An 18,250-nucleotide genomic window follows, 5' to 3' on the forward strand; every position below is an offset into this window, starting at 1 on the left:
TTTTTTTTTTTTTGAGACGAAGTCTCACTCTTGTTGCCCAGGCTGGAGTGCAATGGCACAATCTCAGCTCATTGCAACCTCTGCCTCCCAGGTTCAAGCGATTCTCCTGCCTCAGCCTCCCAAGTAGCTGGGATTACAGGTGCCCACCACCATGCCTGGCTAATTTTTGTACTTTTAGTAGAGGCAGGGTTTCACTATGATGGCCAGGCTGGTCTCGAACTCCAGACCTCAGGTGACCTGCCCAACTTGGTCTCCCAGTGTGCTGGGATTACAGGCGTGAGCCACCACGCCCGGCCCAAATATGGAATATTTCTATCATTGTAGAAAGTTCTATTGGCCAGTGCTGACCTATAATGAAGCACTGAGTAGATAGAGTACCAAGCTTTACCTTTAAGTTTCACTTTAGCCTCAGTATTTAACCAAAAATGAATATTTTGCTTCAGCTTTAGATTTTGAAAAGTCCAAGAGCTAAATACCTATTTCAGTGTTATTTTTGGCATCCTTGACCATGTACATGATCAATGGTAGTATGATCATGTAAATATCTAACAATTAACATCAGTAATATAAATAGGGCATGTCATTCTGACTCACTGTTCATAAATATTCTCAGATTGAGCCAACAGATGTATACAAAAATGTAAATGTATATAAAAATGTAAATGTAAAAATGTAAATAACATAAGACAGAATAACAGAAATTACATATCATAATCCAATCTTCGTAAAATAGTTCATATAAAATAGTTGGTATACAATCATTCCTAATATTAAAGAAAGTAACCTTTAAGAGCTATAGTTAATTTTTTGTTATTCAATTCCATTTCATCCTTAGGTCTTTCAAGAAAAGTTCTACATGGGAAACCTTCATATTCTGTGGGCATACACTAAAAGTGTACTATCAGCTTTGCCACTTCCAAAGTTTACAAGGTTGAAAAACTCAAAATCTATATACAACAACATGCATGATAAATCATCTTCAATTCGAACATAATGAGTATAAAGAAAATAAAGTTTTAGATAAAAATGAGTTACCCAAAACACATTTATTCTCACTAATGAAAATCAAAACAAAAAACTTTATAAGAATGCTGTAAGAAGAAAAATCCTTATAGTTTTGAACTTACAGAGATTTAAAAATATAAACAAACAGCTTTTCAAATGATTACTACAGGCTGCCAATCATTTTTAGTTGATTAAGAAAATGGATTTTTCAGATTCTCTCATGCTTTGAATATTAAGTACAAGTTCCTTTCAGAAAACATGTTACTGAGCCAGGTGAGGTGGTTCACATCTGTAATCCCAGAACTTTGGGAGGCCAAGGTGGGAGGATAGCTTGAGGCTAGGAGTTCAAGACCAGCCTGGCAAACAAAGTGAGACCCCCGTCTCTACAAAAAGATTTTTAAAAATTAGTCAGGTGTGGTCGTGTGCACCTGTAGTCCCAGCTACTTGGGAGCCTAAGGCTTGAGCCAGGAATTGAGAGTCTGCAGTAAACTATATGATCACGCACCACTGTACTCCAGCCTGTCTCGAAAAAAAAAAACCATGTTTCTGAAAAGCATTTTCAGTATTATATATATAATTATGCTGTTCAAAGGTTAACAATATTTAATGTGCCAACTGAATGTCTGTATGGATATCACAAATGTGTTGTACAATAACTAAAAAAGCAATCCTGCCATCGACAGTGCTGAGAAATTCTTTGAGACAAGGTCTCATTCTTTCACCCAGACATGACCTCCCAGACTTAAGCGATTCTCCTACCTCAGCTTCCCAGGTAGCTGGGACTACAGGCATGCGCCACCATGCTTTGCTAATTTTTTAAATTTTTTTTTAGAGATGGGATCTCACTATGTTGCCCAGGCTGTTCTCTAACTCCTGGACTCTAGTGTTCCTCCCACCTCAGCCTCCCAAGTGCTGGCATTACAGGCATAAGCTACCGTGCTTGGCTGGAAATTCTTATTCCTGCCAAGTTTTTTTTTTTTTTTTTTAACATGAATTGCTGAAGTTTTAATAATACAACTGAGTTTTTGGTAAAATTTCAGATTTATTCTTGTATTCCAGGAGTTCATTCCATGATTGTGAAAATCTGCCAAAATTTAATCTTAACACCTGGCCATTGAATTCTCAGCCAAAACGTGTATTGGGTGTATCATCAACTTGACCTATCTTCCTTCTTGACCTATATCTGGTTTCTTATCCTCTTAGCCTTCAACATTTTCTTTGTGAGAAGCCAAAACCCCAAAACTCCTAACAACCAGGACCTGAAAACAACCGAAAAACAAATTACAAATTGACCAGGCCAATTTTCACATGTTTATTTTTTAAAATTTATTCATAAGCCCAACCAAAAGAGCATATAAAAAGAAAGAATACATCATTTGGATTAAGTTTTCAGGTTTTCCAGGTGCCTCTCTCTTCTGTATATAATCAATATCAAAGGAAATAGTTCAATCAGTCTGGGATCTTGGAGGCGGGGGTTTGGCTTAGATTTCTGGGTTCGTGAGACAGAGTCTCACTCTGTTGCCCAGGCTGGAGTGCAATGGCACGATCTCAGATCACTGCAACCTCCCCATCCCAGGTTCAAGCAATTCTCCTGCCTCAGCCTCCCAAGTAGCTGGGATTACAGGTGCGTGCCACCACACCCAGCTAATTTTGTATTTTTAGTAGAGACAGGGTTTCACCATGTTGGCCAGGCTGGTCTTGAACTCCTGACCTCAGGTGATCCACCCACCTCGGCCTCCCAAAGTGCTGGGATTACAGGCGTGAGCCACTGTGCCCAGCCTAGATTTCTGTTAAACAGGTACCCAACTGAAACAAAGGCCACACTTACCGCAAGCTCTTCTGTTCTATCTAGGAACCTGGGAAGAAGCAGAAGGGAGCAGGGCATTTGTATCTATTGATGTGTGGCAGTATAACCTCACAAAATCGAGTGCCTCCTCTAGGAGAAACACAATTCAAACTCATTTCCCTCTATACACAAGATAAATGGTTGATCAGATATCATTGTTCCCCTGGTCTCTCTGGCTGAACAAAAAGCAAGGACAAGAAGGTACTGCAAGGAACTAATAACTTTGTTAACAGTTCTGACAGGGAGGCTCAGAGCCACCTACTCTAGCCCACAGAAAACTTGGTTGTTGTTTTTTTTTTTCCTAAGATTAAAGCACTATTCTCTGTCAATACAATCTTGAAAACAGATTTTCTATATTGTTCTTTACTGTTTTCATGGACAGAGTACAATGTGTTTTGTCTCCCCCAGACCTTGGAGCACCAGGACTTTTGTCTTCTGATTCTTCTTTACTCTGAATAGACCACCATAATTAACATTACCATTTTGGCATGGAGGTGATGCCTGATAAAGCCCTGTTGGTTGGGAAAGAGTAAGGGAGGGAAGGAAGGAGGGAGGAAGCAGCCAGCCTCTGTGACCATGTCTTCTTTTGCAAATTCCTGGCTAACATCTGTAATCTTGACCCTAACCAGGTAACCTGCTTTTCCCCACCTCAGTCTTTTGGGGAGCTCATTGCTGTGCTGGAGTCACTGGATATCAGTCACCTTGGGCCACATGTCAGTCTAAACAGAGGTTCTAACCCTTTCTCTGACACTGAAGAAAAGACATCATGTGCACATATTTTAATCCAAAGGTGGGAAATAGTCCCCACTGACTGGAATTAGAGGGAAGAAAAACATGATAGAAGACCTCAGCCCTCTTTACCCCCAGCAGACATGCCTACCTCTCACCTATCAGAATCCTACCTAGTTTCATAGGCCCATGCAAATCCTAATCACTTCCATGAGGCTTTCCCTGGGTATCCTGACTGAAAATATTTTCTTCTTCTCTTCTACTGTACTTCCCACTGGTATCACTTAGAATCAAGTAATAAAAGATACCTTTATTCTAGGTCTTTTGTAAGAAAACACTTAATAAATACTAATACTACAAACTAGGTATTATGCTAAGTGCTGGCTCACATACTAGCCCTTCATCTTCATAATAACCCTGTGGGTAGGTGTCATCATCTCCATTTGATCGATGTGAAAAACTCATGAAGAGGGTTGATAACTTGGCCAAGGTCACTCAATGAATGATGTGGGAGACCTATAATAGCATTCAACCCAAGTGCATGTGACTCCAAAGCCTGGTTCTTAACCAACTTGCACCTTATCATAAGCTATGCTGTACTGCTAGTTATCCCCTCACACTTCAATAGCTTGTCTTCCAAGCACTTCCAGGAAAAGGGCAGTTGGCGTCTTCTATTCCTTTGTATCCCTCAGAGTGCTTTGAAACAAGTACTTACTAAACTTTATAGACCAGATGATCAGTTCTTACCTGAAGAGGTCTAAAAGCAACTTTTGATCCCCTATTTCCTTAAGGAAGTGAATAAGATGTCTCAGGGCAACCTGTCGCACCTCCAGCTCTCGGAAGAGGATCTCTGTCAGACAGTCAGGAGTTAAGTTGAGAAAGATTAAAGCCAATTAGTCAAGTGTGAAATTGGTCTCCCTACTCACACATTCCAAATATTATCTCATCAAACCCTAACAAAAGCTAAGAATGGTTTACCCCTATGTCTTAATTCACCATCAACACACTCAGCTCATAGCCATTAAATCAGCTTTTCATTTCACACCAACCCAAACAGCAGGCACTTAGCATGGACTCTGACTTCTTCAAACCAACACAGCCATCTGAGGGGGCTCTGTGGTTAATGTAGTCATCACCCTAAAGGACGCCCTCAGAGATGTGATTTGTGCTCTGAAGTCTCAGGCCACCCCACTTGTCTCTGAAATAGACTTGACTAATGAATTCTGGTATGAAAGGCACATGGCATTCTCCCCTCGAATGTGGCAGACACCTTGCTGACTGAAGATTTCCTGCAAGCCATTCTCACCTTTGCTCAGTGTCCTCTTCAGGAAAATCAGAACCTACAGGAAAAAAGAACAAAGACTGTGCAAACTTTCCAACACAGAGTCATGCCCTGAGCACTACAGACACGGGGCCAGCAACTCATTAGCAATCTCTGAAGGTATAGCCAACAGCTCTGTATGTGATGCAAGGAAAGCCAATGGCTATCTGGAACTGAGCTGTGTCTTGAGAGTCCACACACCCGTGCCCATGCTGCTGAGAGACACCTCCCTCTGAAAGAGGATACGCTCACATCTCTTCTCCCTCAGATTGTTTTATATAACACATAGTAGCCAACCTTGTGTGTCTTGGTTACAATCAACGGTTTCACATAGGCTGGGCATGGTGACTCATGCCCATAATTCCAACACTTTGGGAGGCTAAGGCAGGGAGATTACTTGAGCCCAGGAGTGTGAGATCAGCTTGGGCAACATAGCAAGACCCTGTCTCTACAAAAAAATTTAAAAATTAGCCAGGCAAGGCCAAGCGTGGTAGCTCACGCCTATAATCCCAGCTCTTTGGGAGGCCGAGGCTGGTGGATCACCTGAGGTCAGGAGTTTGAGACCAGCCCAGCCAATGTAGTGAAACCCCATATCTACTAAAAATACAAAAATTAGCTGGGCATGGTGGCCCACGCCTGTAATCCCAACTACTTGGGAGGCTGAGGCAGGAGTATCACACAGTGAGCCAAGATTGTCCTACTGCACACTAGCCTGGGCGACAGAGTGAGACTCCATCTCAAAAAAAAAAAAAAAAAAACTAGCCAGGAATGGTGGTATGCACCTGTGGTCCCAGCTACTCGGGGACCTGAGGTGAGAGGATCACTTAAGCTCAGGAGGTCGAGGCTACAGCGAGCCATCATCACACCACTGCACTTCAACCTGGGCAACAGAGCAAGACCCTGTCTCCAAAAAAAAAAAAAAACAGGGTTCCACGCTTAGTGCATGTGGCACCAGCTAAGCCCTTAAAGCACAGATTACTTAGAATCCTACACCTCCAAGGGGAATCCAGGATCTTTACTTAACATTTAACACAAAATGTTAGTCTATTTGATTGGATTTTCAGAAACTAGTGAAAACAATAATTAAACAAACAACAACAAATCCGACAACTCACTGCAGTAATGACGTTTCCATCATGCATGCTTACTGCCTCTTCTAGGAGTTGTAGTTTGTCCTGTAAGGAGCGGAATCTCTCTAGTGAGCAAACCTGGCAGAATAACACTAGAATTAGTACACAAGAAGACAGTTTTCTTTATTCCTTTGTTGCTGGATACTAAAGAATAAGCAATAATGAAACAAAATGTCCCCAAGGAGAGTCTCTTTATTTTTACCCTATGGTCCCCAGCACTTATAAAACAGTTGGCTCCCACCACCCTCTCTAGTTCAGCCTGCTGCCCTATAAGATGCTAATGTCCTGAAGTCTTGATAAAGTCAACAGAAATCACTTGTTCTTTTTGAGACGGAGTCTTGCTCTGTCACCCAGGCTGGAGTGCAGTGGCTCAATCTCGGCTCACTGCAAGCTCCGCCTCCCAGGTTCACACCATTCTCCTGCCTCAGCGTCCTAAGTAGCTGGGACTAGAGGTGCCCGCCACCATGCCCGGCTAATTTTTTTTTAGTAATTTAATTTTTAGTAGAGACGGGGTTTCACTGTGTTAGCCAGGATGGTCTCGATCTCCTGACCTCGTCATCCACCCACCTCAGCCTCCCAAAGTGCTGGGATTACAGGCATGAGCCACCGCGCCCAGCCAATCACTTGTTCTTTTTTAAGAACCCTTATTCATAATTTGCATACAGTAAAACATACCCTATTTAAGTATATAGTTCAGTGATTTTTTTTTTTTTGAGACGGAGTCTCGCTCTGTCGCCCAGGTTGGAGTGCAGTGGCGCAATCTTGGCTCACTGCAAGCCCCGCTTCCCGGGTTCACACCATTCTCCTGCCTCAGCCTCCCGAGTAGCTGGGACTATGGGCACCTGCCACCACACCCGGCTAATTTTTTTGTATTTTTAGTAGAGACAGGGTTTCACCATGTTAGCCAGGATGGTCTTGATCTCCTGACCCCGTGATCCACCTGCCTCAGCCTCCCAAGGTGCTGGGATTACAGGCGTGAGCCACCATGCCCAGCCAGTATCTCATAGTTTCAACTCACATTTTCTTGATAACTATAATTTTAAGTATCTTTTAAAGTGATTATTGGTCATTCATGTATCTTCTTTTGTGATGTGTCTGGTCAACTCTTGTGCCAATTTTTTTATCAGACTGTACTTATCACTAAGCTAAGAGTTTTGTTGTTGTTGTTGTTTTATCTGAGACAGGGTCTCACTGTATTGCCCAGGCTGGAGTGCAGTGGCATGATCATGGCTCAGTGCAGCCTCGACTTCCTGGGCTCAAGCAATCCTCCCACCTCAAGCCTCCTGAGTAGCTGGGACCATAGGTAAGTGCCATCACACCTGGCTAATTTTTATTTTGTAGAGATGGGGTCTTGCTATATTGCCAGGTTTAATAAAAGTTTTATATATATTCTGGCCAAGTACAGTGGCTCACGCATATAATCCCAGCACTTTGGGAGGCCAAGGCAGGCAGATCACCTGAGGTCAGGAGTTTGAGACCAGTCTGGCCAACATGGTGAAACCTCCTCTCTACTAAAAATACAAAAATTAGCCAGGCATGGTGGCACACACCTGTTAATTCCAGCTACTCAGGAGGCTGAAGCAGGAGAATCACTTGAACCTGGGAGGCGTAGGTTGCAGTGAGCTGAGATCGCACCACTGCACTCCAGCCCGGGCGACAGAAGGAGACTCCATCTCAAAAAAAAAAAAAAAAAGTTTTATATATATTCTGGATGAAAGTCCTTTATAATATACGTGTTTTGAAACTACTTTCTCTGAGCTATGGTGGTCCTTTCATGGCTTTAACAGTGGTTTCTAAAAAAAAAATAAAAGTTTTAAATTTTGATGAAGTCCATTTTATCAATTTTTTCATTTATGGTTCATGCTTTTTGTGTCCTAGGTAATAAATCTTTGCCTAAGTCAAGATCATAAAGATTTTCGTCTATATTTTCTTCTAGAAGTTTTATAGCTTTAACAATTAATTTACATTTAGGTCTATGATCCATTTTATTTATTCATTTTTTCATTCCCAATCCTTAGAACCTGTGAAGTATAATCCATTTTATCTGCTTTTTTTTTAGAGAGAGGGTCTCGCTCTCTCGCCCAGGTTGGAGTGCAGTGATGCAATCACAGCTCACTGCAGCCTCAGCCTCCAGGGCTCAACTGATCTTCCTGCCTCAGCCTCCTGAGTAGCTAGGATTATAGGCACAAGCCACCACACCTGGCATTATGATCCATTTTGATCCATTAATTATTATGATCATTGCCAATTCTACCAAAATTGATCTGTACATTCAAGGCAATCCCAATAAAAATCTCAACAACTCTTTTGTAGACACTGCCAAGGTGCTACTAAAATCGATATGGAAGTATAAAGGATCTAGAACAGCCAAAACAATTTTGGAAGAGAACAACATTGAAGGTTGAAAGCTTCAACAAAGTTGAAGTATCTTGATTTCAACATTTATATAATAATCAAGACTGTAGTATTAGCTTAAGGATAAATAATCCAATGAACTAGAATAAAGAGTCCAGAAATAGGCCTACACATATATGATCATTAATTTTCTTCTTATTTTTTTCTTCTTGAGACAGGGTCTTGCTCTGTTGCCTAAGCTGGAATGGAGTGGCACAATCTCGGCTCATTGCAGCCTCGACCTTCAGGGCTCAAGCAATCCTTCCATCTCAGCCTCTCAAGCAACTGTGACTAAAAACATATCCTGCTATAAGATTATAAGTTACATTTATATATTTATAATTATAAATTATAATATACATTTATATTATAAATTAGCCACACCTGGCTTTTTTTTTTTTAAGATGGAGTTCCGCTCTTGTTGCCCAGGCTGGAGTGCAATTGCACAATCTCGGCCACCAGGTTCAAACGATTCTCTTGCCTCAGCCTCCTGAGAAGCTGTGATTTACAGGCATGTGCCACCACGCCCAGCTAATTTTGTATTTTTAGTAGAGACGGGGTTTCTCCATGTTGGTCAGGCTGGTCTTAAACTCCCAACCTCAGGTGATCTGCCTGTCTTGGCCTTCCAAAGTGCTGGGATTACAGGCATGAACCACCGTGCCCGGCCGCACACCTGGCTAATTTTTTTTTTTTTATCATTTGTAGAGACACGGTCTCACTATGTTGCCCAGCCTAGTCTTGAACTCCTGGGCTCGACAGATCCTCCCACCTTGGCCTCCCCAAGTTCTGGGATTACAGGCATGAGCCACTGTGACTGGCCCGATTTTCAACAAAAGCATCAGCAGGATAATTCAATGGGGAAAGGATAGTTTTTTCAACAAATAGTGCTGGAACAAATGGAGATCTACATGGGGAAAACAATTAAACTCAAACCCTTACATCACACCATATGCAAAAATGAACTCAATGAATCACAGATCTAACATAAAAGATTGTTCTCACTCTCTTTTTTTGGGCAGGGGGGCGGAGTTTCACTCTTGTTGCCCAGGCTGGAGTGCAGTGGCACGATCTCAGCTCACTACAACCTCCACTTCCCAGATTCAAGTGATTCTCCTGCCTCAGCCTCCCGAGTAGCTGGGATTACAGGTGCACGCCACCACGCCCGCCTAATTTTTTGTATTTTTAGTAGAGATGGGGTTTCACCATGTTGGCCAGGCTGGTCTAGAACTCCTGACCTCAGGTGATCTGCCTGCCTTGGCCTCCCAAAGTGCTGGGATTACAGGCGTGAGCCACCATGCCCGGCTTCTCTTTTTTTTTTTTGAGACGGAGTCTCACTCACCAGGCTGAAATGCAGTGGTGCAATCTCAGCTCACTGCAACCTCCACCTCCTGGGTTCAAGTGATTCTCCTGCCTCAGCCTCCCGAGTAGCTGGGACTACAGGTGCCTGCCACCACACCCGGCTAATTTTTTATATTTTTAGTACAGATGGGGTTTCACCATGTTGGCCAGGATGGTCTTGATCTCTTGACCTCGTGATCCACCCTCCTCGGCCTCCCAAAGTGCTGGGATTACAGGCGTGAGCCACCACCCCTGGCCCTGGCCTCTCACTCTTAAATGTACTTTTCCCTCTCATCCATCACTCTTTCCCCACTACCCCATCAAAGCAACAGTAATGGAGAATCAGAAATTTTGCCACTGACTTTCAACCTTAGTGGATTTATTTTCCCCCTGAAATTCATTGAACAAATGAGAACTGAAGAGAGGTCAAGAAATCTTCCCTGTGTGAACAAGCTGCCCAGCTTCCCAAAGAACCTCACAAAAATTCTCTGTCCTTACCTTGCCCTTCCGGAGACGTCGCACTGTATCACTGGGGCTCCAGTCATTGCTGTAATCCTGGAATATTAGCAATACGTGAATCCCAGGAAGTTAAGGAATCAAATTTATCAGCATACCCGCTCCTCAACTCAAACTCAGTCTTAGTGTCTAAGGGGGAAATAATTTGTGGGAGGGAATGGATGTGAAAAAAATGAAGAAATGGGACGGTTTTGTTTTGAGTTTCTGAAGGAACTAGAGCAGGGGCAATATAGATAGGAGGAGATGGATCAAAGAGGGAGGAGCCAATTGACAAAGCCAGTAGCCCCATGCCTACCAGTTCAGGACTGCAACCTCTAGATGAATTAGAATCACGTTTTAGGATTCTAACAATTAATGCCTTTGGCCAACAGAAGGAAAGAGAGAGATGTTGGAGACATGTTCCTTTTCCGACCTTAGGATATGGTTTCTTCCTTATGAATCAATTTGCTTTATTTGTTTCATGGGAATATGAGCTCTACCAGGCTTCCAGACTGCAGTGATGATCACTGGGTTTCAAAGTACAGCCTTCAAGTGGGAGCATAATGAGTAAGCAAAGTATGGCAGAGCTGAGTCAGAATATAGAGATTATAAGTCTAAGTTGCACCCTTTCCCAGCTCTGAGACCCCAGGTAAGCCCTCATGTTTAGAAACCCAGTTTTCTAATCTATAAAACAGGGTTAAAAAAATATCTACTCAAATAGTTGGGAAAATCAAGCCAGGTAACATATGTCAAGGTACTTTATACTGTGGAAAGTGTCACACCAGTGTATGCTGTAACTCACCCTATACTCCCCTTTGGGTCTCCCCAGCTCTGGAGCATAGCTTTTGGCAGGTGTGTCTGACAGAGCTGAAAAAGAATAAGCAGCTGGTTCAGAAGGGCACCATGAATCCTGCTTGTCATTCCTTCCCTCTACTTCTTCGTTCTCACATTTTTTTGACTTGTGGGCTCCCAATGTTAACTTTATGGCCAAAAGCAGATCTCCGTTCTTCCCCAAAGACAGCATCCCTAGAAGTCACCTTTGCCCCTGTAGCTAGAATGATTTCTACCTCCTTAGTCAGTATCAGAAAATTCCTCTAATAATGACAGTAGATGCAGAAGAAAGTTCATCTTGTCATCTAATTACTACCTGTCCCCATAACTCCCCAGACTGTACCAGATCAGTAACATTTCCCACAGCAATTAAAAGAGGGTTCAATGCCTACCATCAGAAAGGGACTGGAAACTTCCAGGTCTAGTTCTACCTAAAGGTAAAGAACACAAGAGGGAAAAGGTCAACAGTTTCAATCAGAGCCATCCAGGCTTGGTTAAAGACACAATGTGTAACCAACTCAATAACGCAATATAGGAACTTAAGGCTTAAAAAAGGTTTTATTCATCTGTAGAAATCTGAAGTGCCATTAAAAAATGGAGCAGGGAGAAAATTTTTTTTAATTATGGTAAAATATACATAACAAAATTTACCATTTTAACCATTTTTAAGTGTATAAGTCAGTAGCATTAAGTACATTCACACTGTTGTACAACCATCACCACTATCCATCTCCAGAACTTTTTCATCATCCCAAACTGAGACTCTCTACCCTTTAACCAACTCTACACCCTTTAAACAATAACTCTCCATTCCCTCCACCCCAGCTCTTGGTAACCACCATTCTACTTCCTGTCTCTATGAATCTGACTATTCTAGGTCATACGTAAATGGAGTCATACAATATTTGTCCCTTTGTGCCTCATTTTATTTAGTATCACATCCTCAAGGATCATCCATATGGCAGCATGTATGGGAATGTCGTTCTTCTTTAATGCTGAGTAACATTCCGCTGCATGTATATGGCACATTTTGTTTATCCATTCATCCATCAATGGACATTTGGGTTGTTTCCATCTTTTGGCTATTGTGAATAATGCTACTATCAACATGGAGGTACAAATATATGTTCAAGTACCTGCTTTCCATTCTTTTTGAGATATACCCAGAAGTAAAATTGCTAGATCATATGTTATTTATTTATTTATTGAGATGGAGTTTTGCTCTGTCACCCAGGCTAGACTGCAGTAGTGCAATCTCGGTTCACTACAACCTTTGCCTCCCAGGTTCTAGCAATCTGCCTCCCTCAGCCTCCTGAGCAGCTGGGATTACAGAAGCCCCCACCATGCCCGGCTAATTTTTGTATTTTTAGTAGAGACGGGGTTTCACCATATTGGTAGGCTGGTCTAGAACTCTTGACCTCAGGTGATCCACCTGCCTCAGCCTCCCAAAAGTGCTGGGATTACAGGCGTGAGCCACCACGCCTAGCCAGTTATATGTTTACTGTTTAATTTTTTTTAAAAAACCACCATACTGTCTTCCACGGTGGCTGCACCATTTGGCATTCCCACCAACAAGGTTTTCCAACAGCAATGCACAAGGAGTAGGGAGGAATTTTGATCTAGGCAAATTTTTTCAGTACCAGTCACAGGGTTAATGTCAATTTCATTCATCATGCTATAGAAAACCAGTCCAACTCCTCTGAATTTCTCTCATTTATCTCGCTCCTAACACCCAGCTGCCACCTCCAATGAGAATGCTTTACCCTTCAATAATCTTTTTCTTACAAAGTAAATGAAAATTATGGCCTAAGATTTTTCTGGAAAAAGAGAAGGACTTCCCTATCCATTTAAGCATCTCTCTTTACCTCTAAAAAAGCTGCTCAGGGAGTAGGTAGAAGTAGGCTTGGGTAGTTGTGCATAGGAGGAGAAGCTGTTTCGGCTCTTTAGCTGTTCACGCCCCTCGTGGGTTGAGCCGCTATTACCAGCAGTCTCTCTGATGGACCATGAGATACCTGTGAGATAGTAAGAACTACATCAGCAATTCTCATCCACAATAAAGCCTTGACATCCAACATTCAATAAACTCTAAAAGCTTTTCACCAGAAGCCCTGGTCCCTTGGCCAACTTGGGGCAGGGAGAAAAGATAGAATCAAATAGACTAATCAGCAGAAAAATGGACCAAGGACATGAATAGGTGGATCACAGAAAATTCAAATGGCTCTTCAACATATGAAAAGATGCTCAACCTTACTCTTTTTTCTCTTTTTTTCTTTTTTTTTAGAGACAGGGTCTCACTACATTGCCGGAGCTCTGGAGTACAGTGGCTATTCACAATCATATCTAACAGTCATGTCTCACGTCAGCCTCAACTCCTGGCCTCAAGCCATCCATCGCCACTACCCTCCAGAGGCACACACCACCTGCCCCCAGCTTTGCTAAGAGTACTACAAATTAAAAATATAATGAGAAACCATTAGTCCCCTATAAGATGGGGAAAGATCCAAAAGCTTGATAATACCGTGTTAGCCAGGCTATAGGGAAACTGGAACCCTCCTCCATTGCTGGTGGTAGTATGAATTGGTACAACCCCTGTGGAGGTCAATTTGGCAATATCTACCCAATACAGATGCAAACATCCTATGTGAGTAATTCCACTCTAAGAATTGCTCTTTCATTTATGCATCTATGGTCAGAATATAAAGTCAATGATAGAAATATAAAGAGCAAAAGATTGAAAAATCTAAAATTCAACAGTGGGCTGGCTAAAAAATGATGGTAAACCCATACAATTTAATACTATGCTGCTATTTAAAAAAAAGAAAGAGAAAATGAGAACACTCTTTATATACTGACATGGAAAGATCTCCAAGCTATATTAACACATAAAAAGAGCAAGGTATGAAGCATGCTACTGCTTGTGTAAAAATGGGATAAGAATACATGTTTCTATATACTTTTCCAGATGCAAAAAGAGTCTTTAGATGAATACACAGGAACCAAGCAACGATTGTTTTTTGGGAGGACATGAACTGAAAACTGAGAAGATACATAACAATATGGAACGGAAACTTTTCACTGTAGACCTTTAATTTTTTTTTTTTAATCTTTAGTCACATTATAGTATGGCCTATTTTTTAAAAACTTTCAATTAAAAATATTTCTTAAAAATCAGATGGGGACCAGGGATGGTGGCTCATACCTATAATCCCAGCATTTGGGAGGCCAAGGCAGGCGGATCACTTGAGGTCAGCAGTTCAAGACCAGCCTGGCCAACATGGTAAAACTCCATCTCTACTAAAAATACAAAAATTAGCCAGGCATGGTGGTTGGCACCTTTAATCCCAGCTACTAGGGAGGCTGAAGCATGAGAATCGCTTGAACCTGGGAGGCGGAGGTTGCAGTGAGTCAGGATCGCGCCATTGCACTCCAGACTAGGCAACAGAGTAAGACTCCATCTCAAAAAAAAAAAAAAAAAAAAATCAAATGGACTCTGAAAAAGTATTAAGTGGTATCATATACAGCTAAGCAGTGAGACTTGGTGGGTAAGGAAGTCCGTTCTGTCAATCAGTTATTAGTATACTGAGTCAAGTCAGTAGTTCCCAAATATGGCTATATATCAGAATCACCTGCAGTGTTTATTAAAATTTGAGACCCCCTCTACTCCGCAGAAGACCTAATGAACAGAATCTCTGGGATAAAGCCTAGGAGTATGTCATTTTAACAAGCACCCCAAATGAGAATGAAATAGCCAGCTAAGAGTCAACCCCTGAAGAGCAGACCTATATAGCCATGTGGGAACTCCTGCTGGATTTCCCAAGTATCTTCTCCTGGAGTTAAGTTTCCAGATGTATGCTTATCTGAAAATAGTCTTATCCTAGTCCCTCTCCTAACTAGCATTGAAGAAACAAACAAGTAGAGCCTTTATCAGTGATAAGAATCCTCAACATCTATCCCTGCCTAGGGACTCTTCTACTTACTTCCCACAGGTTCCCCACTCCAGCTGACTCGCTCCAGGTCATCATCGTCATCATCATCCACGAAGTCTCGGAGGCTGTTCACCGCCCGCTTGGACTCCTTTAACTGCAGAGGGACACAAGGCTAGGGTGCTCAGGCAAATCATCATTTCCCACCTCTCTTCTGACAATCAAGAAGGCTGAGGAATTGGGGCCTGAAGGTGGCCAACACTCGCCCTGTGCAATCGAAAGCCTAGCATACTACATATTTGCCAAGAAAACAAACTGATTTTTAGCCAACACTACAGTCCAGTGATAAAAGAGTTAGGAGGAATCAAAGTCACTTTTGAATTCTCATCATATTCCTGGCAGTGACTTGCTATGTAAACCTGAGTGAATTTATTCACCTCTCTAAAAATAAATGATTCCTCAATTGCAAAATAGACACAACAAAGATAAATCTTCCAATCCAGTTCATCTTTCAAAAATAAAAAAATATATATCACATAAATAAAAGACTTGGGGTTCTTCAAAAGAAAAAAAAACCTGTAGGAATAAATCATCTTAAAAAGGTAAAGTAAGAAAGGCAGTGAGCTGGATTTTACAATCCTTCTGGCTCTTTTCTGAGCCTAATGAAGACATACATGGTCAAAAGCCTAGTTACCCAGAATGCAAGAGGAAGGAATTTTATAGTGGCACTGTGGAGAAGAGTACAAACTTCAGCAGTTGACCTACCTGTGAAAGCTCATCGTCTTCATCGTCAAAGGTAAAAGCCTTGAACTTGGAGCTGTTCCAATACTCCTCCTCATCACCCTTTGTCCGATTCATCTACAGTGACAGGAAAACATACATTGCCCCTTTCTGGGTCTCTCCCTAAAGAGTTCCAAAAGCTTTAGTTTCCTGCACCACTAACTGATCCCAAAAATCAAGGATGCAGAAAAGAATCTGGTAAAACAAATATTGAACCTGCCATATAAAACCAGATTCTTGGGTCTCCAACTGATCAAATCATACTTCTAATCTTCTAATTACCCATAAGTAGTCATCCATTCTTAAGAGCATCCACTTTGTCCAGGGCACTCTCTCAGGTGTTGTAAGGTATATAAAAAAGTGCCAGAGGCTGGGTGCAGTGGCTCAGGCCTTTAATCCCAGCACTTTGGGAGGCCGAGGCAGGCAGAACACCTGAGGTCAGGAGTTCGAGACCAGCCTGACCAACATGGAGAAACCCCGTCTCTACTAAAAATACAAAATTAGCCGGGCATGGTGGCGCATGCCTGTAATCCCAGCTACTCAGGAGGCTGAGGCAGGAGAATCGCTTGAACCCAGGAGGCAGAGGTTGCGGTGAGCAGAGATCGCACCATTGCACTCCAGCCTGGGCAACAAGAGCGAAACTCCGTCTCCAAAAAAAAAAAAAAAAAGTGTCAGACGTGGGGACCCTACAACAGAGCTAGGGCATTCAGCATAGGTATGTATTAAAAGCAACAGTGCAAGGCAGGCAAATGTTATAAGAATCTATCAAAAAACTTTGCTGAATACACAAGGAAGAGCAATCAGAACATGCACAAAACAGACAAAAATTGCATTCACATTTTCAACAAATACTTATTGAGCACCATCTCTGAGGCACTGTTCTAGGCTCTGGGAATACTACAGTGAATGAACAAATATTCCACCCTCATGTATGCTTTTTAAATGCCTGAAAGAACGGAAAGCAAAGCAATTAAAAGAAGCAGAATTATCTCACCTAAATCTTCAAATTATGACTATTTTATTAACAACTGTTGGCCAAAATTTGAGAAATGAGGGGATGGCCAAGAAAAGCAAGTATATAAAGAAGTAGTCAAAAGACCACAAGTCCCTGTTATAACTACTATAAAATTCAATTTTGCCCTGCAAAAACAAGTTTTGCCCTAGAATTACAAACTAGGCAGGGCACAGTGGCTCATATCTGTAATCTCAGCACTTTGGGAGACTGAGGTGGGAGGATCACCTGAGCCCAAGTTCAAGACTAGCCTGGGCAACATTGTAAAACTGTCTCTACAAAAAAATTTAAAAAACAAAACAAAAAACTAGCTGGACATGGTGACGTAGTCCCAGCTGCTTGGGAGGCTAAGGTGGGAGGATCACCTGAGCTTGGGACGTCGAGGCTGCTATGAGCTGAGATTACACCACTGCACTCCAGCCTGGGTGACACAGTGAGACCCTCCCTATCTCCAAATAAGGAAACAGAATTACAAAGTAAACTATCAATGCCAACAGGATTAGAATGAAAACTATGATTTAAGCCAAGGACTGGGTATAAAACTCCCACAGCACCAAAAATAACTGTAAAGGCTAAACAGCATCAAGTTCTAAAAGAACCATTTGCTTTTCCTTTTAATAGCACCTTCATCAATAAAAGCTTGAGAAAAGCCTTGTCATGGTAGTCCTGTTGAGGCTTTTGATAGCCCTTAAAGATACTCTACTGTTACTTCCTGACTTTGTTTTCAACTCAGGGGATATAGGGATAGCAAGGGTATTGTGGGGATTTTCTACTATCTGGTCCCTTCTCACGGCAGACATCACTAATTGATTTCTACTGGTACAGGGTTGTTTAAAAATCCTTTTCTGTATTTAATTTTAGGGAGATAAACCAAAAATGCTGGCAGACACCATGAAATCATCCCACACAGACATTGTAGTCAGGCAACCTTGAGTTCAAATCCTGGTTTCTCTTAATTCTGAGCAAAGTGGATAAATGACTTTACTTCTAAGCCTTGGAGAAAATTATATCCTATCTCACAGGGTTGCAGGGAACATCTATAAAAGTGTCTAGCAGAAAGTAAATACTAAATGTTATTTCCTTTTAATATGGAATATCATACTGACATTTTTCTGTCTTGGTTTTCCCGTCTGTTAAATGGGCATAACAGATGACCTACCTTAGAAATGGTTCTGAGGAGTAAACCAGTTAATACATGTAAAGTGCTTAGTGCCTGACCCAAAATTAACACTCAATAGTAACTTTTATTATTAATACATCATCCTGGTACCTTGGGAAAAGCTAAAAAAGAAAATATTTTTTAGCAATCCTAAAGATTAAAAAAAATACAAAAATTCTGAGTAGCCACAAATGCTGAAGATGTGTATAGAACATATAAATGTCTCTGGCACACATGTCAGTTCATAAATCACTCTGTCATTCGTTTGATCCTCAGAACAATCTTGT

The 18,250-nt window shown here is 41.7% G+C and overlaps 1 protein-coding gene across 21 annotated transcripts in view; it reads right to left on the bottom strand.

Annotated features, from left to right (window-relative positions):
- The window catches only part of VIPAS39 (VPS33B interacting protein, apical-basolateral polarity regulator, spe-39 homolog), a 30,927-nt gene that overhangs the window by 11,558 nt on the left and 1,119 nt on the right, over positions 1–18,250 (bottom strand). For 13 of the 21 annotated variants that reach the window (NR_174476.1, NM_001400339.1, NM_001400336.1 and 10 more), the window contains 10 exons: positions 15,778–15,870; positions 15,067–15,169; positions 12,955–13,101; positions 11,482–11,520; positions 11,061–11,125; positions 10,262–10,318; positions 6,017–6,109; positions 4,887–4,920; positions 4,328–4,430; positions 2,834–2,861 (listed from right to left, as the gene is read on the bottom strand). Coding sequence is in view for 20 of the 21 variants with exons in the window: in NM_001400339.1 (NP_001387268.1) it covers positions 2,834–2,861; positions 4,328–4,430; positions 4,887–4,920; positions 6,017–6,109; positions 10,262–10,318; positions 11,061–11,125; positions 11,482–11,520; positions 12,955–13,101; positions 15,067–15,169; positions 15,778–15,870 (762 nt within the window). In the remaining variant the exon portion in view is untranslated. The remainder of the gene's footprint in view (positions 1–2,833; positions 2,862–4,327; positions 4,431–4,886; positions 4,921–6,016; positions 6,110–10,261; positions 10,319–11,060; positions 11,126–11,481; positions 11,521–12,954; positions 13,102–15,066; positions 15,170–15,777; positions 15,871–18,250) is intronic. The other 8 variants (NM_001193316.2, NM_001400324.1, NM_001400325.1 and 5 more) reach the window with 5 other exon arrangements.

This window comes from Homo sapiens, chromosome 14 (assembly GCF_000001405.40).
Source record: "Homo sapiens chromosome 14, GRCh38.p14 Primary Assembly".
NCBI lineage: Eukaryota > Metazoa > Chordata > Mammalia > Primates > Hominidae > Homo > Homo sapiens.